The sequence below is a fragment of the Homo sapiens genome, chromosome 2 (genome assembly GCF_000001405.40).
Source record: "Homo sapiens chromosome 2, GRCh38.p14 Primary Assembly".
Classification (NCBI taxonomy): domain Eukaryota; kingdom Metazoa; phylum Chordata; class Mammalia; order Primates; family Hominidae; genus Homo; species Homo sapiens.
In genome coordinates, this window is record NC_000002.12 from 206,805,221 (window position 1) to 206,816,250 (window position 11,030).

Here is an 11,030-nt window from a genome sequence, read left to right on the forward strand (position 1 = left end):
AGTAATTTAAATTTTTAGATTTGATTCCAGAGCCATATATCATATATGATATAACTTTGTACCAACCAAACAGAAAGCAAGTCATTTTCAAACAAATGCTTTATTGATTTTCTCTTATTTATATACTAGGATATGAAGTTAACAATACATTTTACATGGGTACCTTTCTGTCAAGTTGGAATGAATTTCCGCATGAATAAGAAAGGCCCATTTTCTCTTCATTTTTGTATTTTGAATAGTAGAGAGGCAAGGGAGAGAGAAGGAGGGCCACTGGGCTGAGAATCAGGAGACCTGGGTTCCAGCCACTGCCTCTGTCATTTAAATTCTCTAGGATGCCTGTTATTCCAGCACTTTGAGAGGTGGGCAGATTGCTTGAGCCCAAGGGTTCGAGACCAGCCTGGACAACATCGTGAAACCCTGTCTCTACAAAAAAAATACAAAAATTAGCTGGACTTGGTGGCATACATCTGTAATCCCAGCTACTCAGGTGGCTGAGGTGGGAGGATTGCTCGAGGCTGGGAGGTTGAAGCTGTAGCGAGCCATGATCGCACCACTGCACTCCAGCCTGGGCAAGAGAGGGAGACCCTGTCTCAAAAAAAAAAAAAAGAGAGAAAAGAAAAGAAAAAGGAAAAGAAATTCTCTAGGTCTTGGTTTCCTCAGTGATATAACAGTCAAGTTGGGATAGACCTTCTCTAAGATGTGGTGCTCTCCCTTCTTCGCAAATGCTTAGCATAAGCCCAGATTTCCAATTCCAACATCTGGTCAAAGGCCTTCCCCCTTGCCCCAAACCATGACTTAAGCTTGTAGAAGTGTATGCTGTCATCCTAGGACTAAGAATGTGCAGTGCCTCATAAATCAAATTCAACATTAAATTGCACTGCAAACAAAAAGTTTCACATGGTTACAATGTTGCTGTATGGAATTTAATGAGCTCCATATGCCTGACCTCTGGATATAAATGATTTGGGGAACTGTAGCTGTGAAAGAGTCTAAGGGCATCAGCATCTGGTGGTGTGAGTTACACAGAGTGAAGAGAATCGACCTCATTTTTGTACTATTGCCAAGCTTGGAAAGGTAGAAATACTCTGCAATCGGTATGCTCACCTTCTGAGAGAATGCTGACAGTTTTCCAGAATTTTTCTCACTCATCAGGAAGTTGTGGAGTCCAGTGGATTCTGACTTCCTTCCTGCAGTGCTCCCAGACACTCGTGCCTGTGAGGCCACTGGGCTTTCACTCTGTCCTGGGGAGAGCAGGCTCTCTTGTTGGACATATCGGTGACTTTTGATTGACTACTTGTACTTGTTTTGGTCGTCTCTGCTACCCATAAAAAGGTTCTGCCTAAAACCCAGATCTGACAATGTTATCAATGTTATTCTTCTCCCTTATTTAAACAATTCAGGACTCCTCTTTTTTGTTTGTTTTTAGACAGAGTTTCTTTTGCTCTTGTTGCCCAGGCTGGAGTGCAATGGTGTGATCTCAGCTCACCGCAACCTCCGCCTCCCGGATTCAAGAGATTCTCCTGCCTCAGCCTCCTGAGTAGCTGGGATTACAGGCGTGCACCACCATGCCCGACTAATTTTGTATTTTTAGTAGAGACGGGGTTTCTCCATGTTGGTTTTCACACGCGTCCGTGTGAAGAGACCACCAAACAGGCTTTGTGTGAGCAACATGGCTGTTTATTTCACCTGGGTGCAGGCGGGCTGAGTCAGAAAAGAGTCAGAGAAGGGAGATAAGGGTGGGGCCGTTTTATAGGATTTGGGTAGGTAAAGGAAAATTACAGTCAAAGGGGGTTTGTTCTCTGACAGGCAGGAGTGGGGGGTCGCAAGGTGCTCAGTGGGGGTGATTTTTGAGTCAGGATGAGCCAGGAAAAGGACTTTCACAAGGTAATGTCATCAGTTAAGGCAAGGACCGGCCATTTACACTTCTTTTGTGGTGGAATGTCATCAGTTAAGGCGGGGCAGGGCATATTCACTTCTTTTGTGATTCTTCAGTTACTTCAGGCCATCTGGGCGTATACCTGCAAGTCACAGGGGATGCGATGGCTTGGCTTGGGCTCAGAGGCCTGACATTCCTGCCTTCTTATATTAATAAAAAAAATAAAACAAAATAGTGTTGAAGTTTTGGGGCGGTGAAAATTTTGGGGGGGTGGTATGGAGAGAGAATGGGCGATGTTTCTCAGGGCTGCTTCAAGCGGGATTAGGGGCGGCGTGGGAACCTAGAGTGGGAGAGATTAAGCTGAAGGGAGGTCTTGTGGTAAGGGGTGATATTGTGGGGTTGTTAGAAGAAACATTTGTCGTATAGAATGATTGGTGATGGCCTGGATACGGTTTTGTATGAATTGAAAAACTAAATGGAATAACAGAAGGAGAAAAACAGGTATAAAAGGTCTAAGAATTGGGACGACTCAGGATATCTGATTGGAGAGTGCTTAAGGAGATTCAGCATAGTCCTGCCAGCAAAGATTATTTATTTACTTCAAGAGTTAAGAGTGGCAGTTTGGGGACAGCACCAGGAGATATCAGCTGTGATGGCTTGGAGAAACAGTGTAAACTGGCAGTGTAAACAAGAGCAGGTCATGTATGAGTAGTTGAGAACGGTGAATAGGAGTATGACTAGACAGAAAATAGGAGTATGACAAGTTTTTTTTTGGGGAGGTAGGCACAGTCTAAGTTGGTCTGGTGTCTGGAATGAGACTGGGGCCTAATAAAAAGGAGCGTCTATACAGGAGCTTAAATGGGCTGTACCCTGTAGCATTCCGAGGACAGGCCTGAATTCTGAGAAGGGAAAGTGGTAAAAGTATTGTCCAGTCCTTTTTGGTGGCTGAGCTTGGTGAGGTGTGTTTTTAAAAGACCTTCAGTCCATTCTACTTTTCTTGAAGACGGAGGACCGTAAGGGATATAAAGGTTTCACTGAATACTAAGAGCCTGAAAAACTGCTTGGCTGATTTGACTAATAAAGGCTCATCTGTTATCAGACTGTATTGAGGTGGGAAGGCTAAACTGAGGAATTATGTCTGACAGAAGGGAAGAAATGACTGCAGTGGCCTTCTCAGACCCTGTAGGAAAGGCCTTTACTTATTCAGTGAAAGTGTCTATTTAGACTAAGAGGTATTTTAGTTTCCTGACTCAGGGCATGTTGAGTAAAGCTAATTTGCCAGTCCTGGGTGGGGCAAATCCTCGAGCTTGATGTGTAGGGAAGGGAGGGGGCCAGAATAATCCCTGAGGAGTAGTAGAATAGCAGATGGAACACTGAGAAGTTATTTCCTTGAGGATAGATTTCCACGATGGAAAGGAAATGAGAGGTTCTAAGAGGCGGGCTAGTGGCTTGTACTATAGTATAACCTGCCTTTGCTGGTGTGTGGCGATTAGGTCTGGTGGAACCGCCATCAATAAATCAAGCATGATTAGGGTGAGGAACAGGAAAGAAGAAAATCTGGGGAAATGGGGTGAATGTCAGGTGGATCAGAGAGATACAGTCATGGGGTCAGGTGTGGTATCAGGAATAATGTGGGAGGCCGGATTGAAGTCTGGGGCAGGAACAACGGTAATTGTGGGAGACTCAACGAAGAGTGAGTATAGCTGAAGGAGCCGGGAAGCAGAAAGTATATGCGTCAGGTATGAGGAAGAAAATAGATTTTGGAAGTTATGAGAACTGTAGAGAGTGAGTTGAGCATAGTTTGTGATTTTAAGGGCCTCTAAAAGTATTAAAGCAGTGGCAGCCGCTGCTTGCAGACATGAGGGCTAGGCTAAAACAGTAAGGTCAAGTTGTTTGGACAGAAAGGCTACAGGGTGTGGTCCTGGCTCTTGTGTAAGAATTCTGACCGCGCTAACCATGCCTAGGAAGGAAAGGAGTTGTTGTTTTGTAGAAGGTGCTGGGGTTTGAGAGATTAGTCGGACACGATTGGCAGGGAGAGCACGTGTGTTTTTATGAGAATTATGCCGAGATAGGTAACAGATGAGGAAGAAATTTGGGCTTGATTGAAGTAATGGGGCTGTCTGTGAGCTTTGCGGCAGTACAGCCTAGGTAATTTGCTGAGCTTGATGGGTGTCAGGGTCAGTCCAAGTGAAAGCGAAGAGAGGCTGGGATGCAAAGGAATAGTAAAGAAAGCATGTTTGAGATCCAGAACAGAATAATGGGTTGTAGAGGGAGGTATTGAGGATAGGAGAGTATATGGGTTTGGCACCACGGGGTGGATAGGCAAAACAATTTGGTTGCTAAGGCGCAGATCCTGAACTAACTTGTAAGGCTTGTCTGGTTTTAGGACAGGTAAAATGGGGGAATTGTAAGGAGAGTTTATAGGCTTTAAAAGGCCATGCTGTAGCAGGCGAGTGATAACAGGCTTTAATCTTTTTAAAGCATGCTGCGGGATGGGATATTGTCATTGAGTGGGGTAAGGGTGATTAGGTTTTAATGAGATGGTAAGGGGTGCATGATCGGTCACCAAGGAGGGAGTAGAGGTATCTTATACTTGTGGGTTAAGGTGGGGGGATACAAGAGGAGGACGCAAAGGAGGCTTTGGACTGGGAAGAAGGGTGGCAATGAGATTTAGCTGTAGTCCAGGAATAGTCAGGGAAGCAGATAATTTAGTTAAAGTGTCTCAGCCTAATAAGGGAACTGGGCAGGTGGGGATAACTAAAAAGGAGCGCTTAAAAGAGTATTGTCTAAGTTGGCACCAGAGTTGGGGAGTTTTAAGAGGTTTAGAAGCCTGGCCATCAATACCCACAACAGTTATGGAGGCAAGGGAAACAGGCCCTTGAAAAGAAGGTAATGTGGAGTGGGTAGCCTCCGTATTGATTAAGAAGGGGACTGGCTTACCTTCCACTGTGAGAGTTACCGGAAGCTCAGCATCCGTGATGGTCTAGGGGGCTTCCAAGGCGATCGGGCAGTGTCAGTCTTCAGCCGCTAAGCCGAGAAGTTCTGGGAAGGAGTCAGTCAGAGAGCCTTGGGCCAGAGTTCCAGGGACTCTGGGAGTGGCTGCCAGGTGAGTTGAACAGTCCGATTTTCAGTGGGGTCCCACACAGTTGGGACGCGGCTTAGGAGGAATCCCGGGCTGCGGGCATTCCTTGGCCCAGTGGCCAGATTTCCAGCACATTTAGCAAGCTCCTGGGGGAGGAGGTTCTGGAGGAACGCCTGGCTGCTGCGGTTCAGGCGTTTGGAAGTCTTGTGTGCTGGAGATGTGTCTGGGGTTTGTCTCACAGTGGAGGCAAGGAATTGCAACTTTTTTCTGTTATTGTACACCTTGAAGGTGAGGTTAATTAAGTCTTGTTGTGGGGTTTGAGGGCCAGATTCCAATTTTTGGAGTTTTATTTAATGTTGGAAGCAGATTGGGTAATAGAATGTATATTGAGAATAAGACGGCCTTTTGACCTTTTAGGGTCTAGGGCTGTAAAGTGTCTCAGGGTTGCTGCCAAACGAGCCATGAACTGGGCTGGGTTTTTATATTTGATGAAAAAGGGCCTAAACGCTTCTGATTTGGGATAAAGAAAAAGGAGCATTAACCTTGACTATGCCTTTAGCTCCAGCCACCTTTTTAAGAGTAAATTGCTGGGCAGGTGGGGGAGGGCTAGTCACAGAACGAAACTGTAAGCCGGACCAGGTGTGAGGAGGGGAGGCGATAAAAAGATTACAGGGTGGAGGAGCGGAGGCTGAGGAAGAATGGGGACCTAGCTTGGGCTAGCGAGGAGGGGAGAGGTCAGATGGGTCTGTAGAAAAGGAAGATTAGAAAGACTCAGCGACGCTTGGGGTTGGGACTGAGGGGACAGGCGGGAGGGAAAGAAGGAAGATTTGGGACAAGTTGCACTGGGCACAGAGACTAGGAAGGGACTGATGTGTAAAAGAATGCCTGGACGTCAGGCACCTCAGACCGTTTGCCTATTTTACGACAAGAATTATTTAGATTGTGCAGGATGGAAAAATTCAAAGTGCCATTTTCTGGCTATTTGGAACTACTGTTGAGTTTGTATTGGGGTCAAGCGGCATTGCAGAAGAAAATAAGGCATTTAGGTTTTAGGTCAGGTGTGAGTTGAAGAGGTTTTAAGTTTTTGAGAACACAGGCCAAGGGAGTAGAAGGAGGAATGGAGGGTGGAAGGTTGCCCATAGTGAAGGAAGCAAGCCTAGAGAAAAGAGAGAGTAGAGAAACGGAGGGAAGGGGTTCAGGAGTTCTTACCTTCCAGAAAAGTGGGAAAAGGGGTTGGGGTGCAGAGATAAGAGGTTGGGGCACAGAAATAAGGGATTGGGGCACAGAGATAAGAGGTTGGGGTGTGGAAATAAGGGATTGGGGTGCAGAGATAAGAGGTTGGGGTATGGAAATAAGGGATTGGGGCACAGAGGTAAGAGGTTGGGGTGTGGAAATAAGGGATTGGGGGTTCTTGCCCTGTAGAAAAGCGGGACTTGCCGCTAAGGGTGAAGGAGAAGGGGTTGAGGGGTACTTGCCCCTCTCCCAGAAAAGCAGAGAAGGGGTAGAGACAAGGAGAGAAGGGGTTGAGGTACTTGCCCCTTCCCCAGAAAAGCGGGACTTGCCGCTAAGGGTAAAGGACCAAGGCAGGCATCCCTACGTGGTCTGACACCCTTGAAACGTGGGTGTATAATCAGGCGTCCCTGCAATGATTAAACACCAATGGAGGGCTGCCTTCCCAGTCCGTGACCGGCGCCGGAGTTTTGGGCCCACGGATAAAACGTGTCTCCTTTGTCTCTCCCAGAAAATGAAAGGAATTGAAATTAAGAAAAGGGAGAGATTGAAGAGTGGAAAGGAGAAAGTGGTTGAGGGACAGTGAGAGAGGTTGGAGAAGAGAGTAAGACGCCGTTTACCTGATTTAAAATTGGTGAGATGTTCCCTGGGCTGGTCGGTCTGAGGACCTGAGATCGTAGGTGGATCTTTCTCATGGAGCAAAGAACAGGAGGACAGGGGATTGATCTCCCAAGGGAGGTACCCCGATCTGAGTCACGGCACCAAATTTCATGCGCGTCCGTGTGAAGAGACCACCAAACAGGCTTTGTGTGAGCAACATGGCTGTTTATTTCACCTGGGTGCAGGCGGGCTGAGTCCGAAAAGAGAGTCAGAGAAGGGAGATAAGGGTGGGGCCGTTTTATAGGATTTGGGTAGGTAAAGGAAAATTACAGTCAAAGGGGGTTTGTTCTCTGGCGGGCAGGAGTGGGGGTCGCAAGGTGCTCAGTGGGGGTGATTTTTGAGTCAGGATGAGCCAGGAAAAGGACTTTCACAAGGTAATGTCATCAGTTAAGGCAATGACCGGCCATTTACACTTCTTTTGTGGTGGAATGTCATCAGTTAAGGCGGGCCAGGGCATATTCACTTCTTTTGTGATTCTTCAGTTACTTCAGGCCATCTGGGCATATACATGCAAGTCACAGGGGATGCGATGGCTTGGCTTGGGCTCAGAGGCCTGACATTGGTCAGGCTGGTCTCGAACTCCTGACCTCAGGTGATCCACCCACCTCAGCCTCCCAAAGTGCTGGGATTACAGGCATGAGACTCCTCATTTTTTATGCACATACTGTCCAGTTGGGCCTGACCCACTTTTTAGACTCCTTGGTCATTATTTTCCGTCTTTGGCATTCTGTGCTCCAGCTACTCAGAGGTCTTCCCCAGCATTCAGATTTCATCTTTCGGAGCCTTTTCACATGCTTTGTACTCTGAGGAATCCCTGCCACCTCTTCACCTGGAAAGATTCTCCTATATGAGTGTAGATTGAACAACACTTTCCTGAGTTCTCTCTCCTCACGTGTTCCTGCCCCATTTGTGGTTAGTCTTTGCCATTTCTGTGTTCCCATGACCCTTAGATGCAGTGAGGGATAGAGAGAAAGGGCTGTATCTTCCCCCAGTAAACTGGGGAACTCTTCAGGAGTAAATATGTGTCTGATTCTTCCCTTTCTTTACTGAAGCAGCATATATTTGGCTGTCAGTAAATGCTGAGTGAACAAATGACGGAGTGTATGAATAAACAAAGTCCTCAGAAGCCAAGCAGAGTTTTCCTCTTTTAATGTTTCTTCACCATATTTCTCTGATTATGTTGCATATCATAATTTATGTCCATCAAAGGTTTAGGCCATACGTACATCCTTTTTGAAGGCTATCGTTCAAGGGCAGGAAAACAACTAATGTTCCTTTGACCTCAGGAAGTTGCTGTGAAACAGGACAGAAAATGTACCCCCTAATCAAAAATAAAAGTTAAAAAAAAAAAAAGAACAAGCCAATAGACTTGCTTGTCTCCACAAAATGCTCCCTGAACTCGTTAAGAATCTGGATGGAACTCATTAAGAATCTTGTCTGAGAGATGTGCTTTGGGTGCAGTCATTTTCTGTGTTAATGTTTTGCAAACAAATAGGTCTCCCAAATGGGAAACTGACCAGAGGCAATAATGTAGATCTTCATATAACAAAATTTAATTTTGACATTTTTGTACTTACCTTTATTTCTAACCCTGAGATACCCAATCCATGAATTAGCACCTTTCCTCTTGATCCTGGATTCTGAAAATAAAGAATCTTCGTATTTTGGAGATTCTTAGTATTGAATATCTAAAATAAAAATTCAGAAGAATTAATAGCAGTATTTTAAAAGGACATGGTAATATTCAAACATACCATCTCATGTGATTCTTATAACAGGCTTATGAAATGAACTGGGCAAAAATTTAGGTTCTTGTTTTATAGATGAGGAAGCTAAAGCTCACAAATGACTTGCTCAAAGTCAGAGAGCTAGGAAATTGGCAATGATAAGACGTGAACCATTTATGATGATATGAGTAAACTCATCTCTCAATTACACGTATTTAGATGTGCATATGTAGTATAGCACAATAGTTTTGGCTACCTTTGCCAGTCTCTGAACTACCCAAGCAAACAATTTGTCCTGGAACTAACTCCCTAGTTACTCAAGTTGTCTCTTTGGGTCATTTTCATGCTCATGAGCATGTAGAAGAGAAAATGGGACTGAGAAAGGAAAACAATGAAGATTGACCATTTGTTTGATTAAAGTTTTGATGCAAAATGCCAACTGATATTACTTAGAAGGAGAAACAGATTGTGAAATTACAAGGGTGGTTTTGTTTTTTGTTTTGTTTTTTTTTGTGTGTTTTTTTTGTTTGTTTGTTTGTTTTGTTTTTTAACTAGGACTATCCCCTTTCTCCATTCTCAGAGAGATTCTAGGGCAGACGATGGTAAAGAATATAGCGATTTCATTTATTTGACTACCTGGATTCTCTTTAGAAAAAGTGATCCAACATGTTAAGAACTCAGTTATTAATAAAAGCAGTGGACAATTTGAAAGACAGTAAATTGGGTGTTTCCTGGTAATTCTGCTCTTGTTAGAATAATGAAATTTGAAGGTTTAAAACATAGCTTGTTTTGAAGTGATGCATGAGTTCCCAAAAACCTTGTTTAACATATTGCTGGAATAATGCATATGAGATGGTTAAAAATGGAAGTAGAAAAAAAATCCCCAACACCCTTAGAGGAATTTGCAATTCATAAAGTTACTGCCAATTTTGCATTATAGTTGTTATGGTAACCATGCTAGGCTTCTGCTCAAATGTTTCTCAGAAGGGGAAGGAATAGTATATAATAAGCTCTTCAAGTGTAATTTTTTTATTGTAGTTGAATTAGTGTGTAATTCTTATGTGAGCATTTTAGTAATCCATAAACATGCACTCTAGTTATGATTCTGATTTTTTACCTCAGTATGTTTAAGCAATGTGTGAAAAGTTGCTGTCTACTATCAGTGCTTGGCAATTAATTTTAAAAATAATAACAAAAAGCATTAGCAACAGTAATTAATTATAAAAGCAAAAACAAAAGTGCATTTCCAACCTGACTCTAGTAAATTTCCCAGACCAAAGCATTGGCTTGCTTATTGATTCAAAGTGCTTTCAGCCAAGCTTTTAGCTTACATTCACGAGTCACCCCTTGGCCCTTCTATGTTTTTCCTCAGAAGAATCCTATATATTGAATAAGTGAAGTATCAAACAGAGCCAGTTGGACCAATTAGTCTAAAATAAAACTTTCATTTGGCCATTTAGATAGGGAGCTATTTTTAAATGGTAATTGGATTTTTCTTTTTTTCCTTCAGCTTCTAGGGAGTGAGTCTAACAGCTGAGGTGGAGCAGCACATATCTGGACATGGAGTAAAGGTTGTTCAGGGTTTGAAGCCTCATGGGTTAGTTTTGAATGCAGAAGAAGAGAAATGGGCTTTGGAGTCCAACAAGCCTGGACTTACACTCTAGCTTTGCATTTTACTAACTGAGGTCTTGGGCAAGTCATTTACCATCTGGGGCTTCAGTGTCTTCATTTGTATAAACCGGATGCTTATGCCTTTCTTGCAGTGTTTGTAAGAATTAGAACTAATTGGACATGAACCGCGTAGCTCAAAATTTGGCACAGTGTATTAGTTTCCTATTGTTGTTGTAACAAATTTAGTGGCTTACAACAACACATAGTAATTGTCTCATAGTGCTGGAGGTCAGAAGTCAAAAATGGGTCTAACTGGGCTAAAATTAAGGTGTGGGCAGGGCTGTCTTCCTTTCTGGTGTCTCTAAGATAATCAGGTTTTTTGCCTTTTTTAGCTGCTAGAGGCTGCCTGCATTCCTTGGCTTATGGCCCCTTCCACTGTCTTCAAGGTTGGCAGCGGCCAGTGGAGTGAGTGTCTTTCATATCCCTTCACTCTGCTACTGACTTTCTGCCTCCCTCTTCCACTTTTAAGGATCCTTGTGGGTTACATTGTGCCCACTCTGATAATTGAAGATAATCTCCCTATTTTAAAGTCAGTTTAGCAGCCTTCATTCCACCTGTAATCGTATGGGTCTTTTGCCTCTCCATATAAACTTTAAAATTTAGTTTGTTACTAGCTACAAAATAACTTGATGGGATTTTTATTAGGATTATGCTGAATCTATAGATCAATTCGGAAAGGATTGACATCTTGTTAATATTGAGTCTTCCTATCCATGAATACAGAATATCTGTCCATTTATTTAGTTCTTCTTTGATATCTTTATCAAAGCTTTATAGTTTTCCT

General features: G+C 43.6%; 3 annotated features.

Moving 5' to 3' along the window:
- Positions 1,513-2,340: an enhancer, noted in NCBI's record as "OCT4-NANOG-H3K27ac hESC enhancer chr2:207671457-207672284 (GRCh37/hg19 assembly coordinates)". NCBI's record gives its function as "activates a minimal SCP1, AML or CMV promoter by ChIP-STARR-seq in naive H9 embryonic stem cells {active_cell/tissue: H9 hESC(naive)}" and the evidence as "EXISTENCE:reporter gene assay evidence [ECO:0000049][PMID:30033119]".
- Positions 6,331-6,946: an enhancer, noted in NCBI's record as "NANOG-H3K27ac hESC enhancer chr2:207676275-207676890 (GRCh37/hg19 assembly coordinates)". NCBI's record gives its function as "activates a minimal SCP1, AML or CMV promoter by ChIP-STARR-seq in naive H9 embryonic stem cells {active_cell/tissue: H9 hESC(naive)}" and the evidence as "EXISTENCE:reporter gene assay evidence [ECO:0000049][PMID:30033119]".
- Positions 6,947-7,564: an enhancer, noted in NCBI's record as "OCT4-NANOG-H3K27ac hESC enhancer chr2:207676891-207677508 (GRCh37/hg19 assembly coordinates)". NCBI's record gives its function as "activates a minimal SCP1, AML or CMV promoter by ChIP-STARR-seq in naive and primed H9 embryonic stem cells {active_cell/tissue: H9 hESC(naive and primed)}" and the evidence as "EXISTENCE:reporter gene assay evidence [ECO:0000049][PMID:30033119]".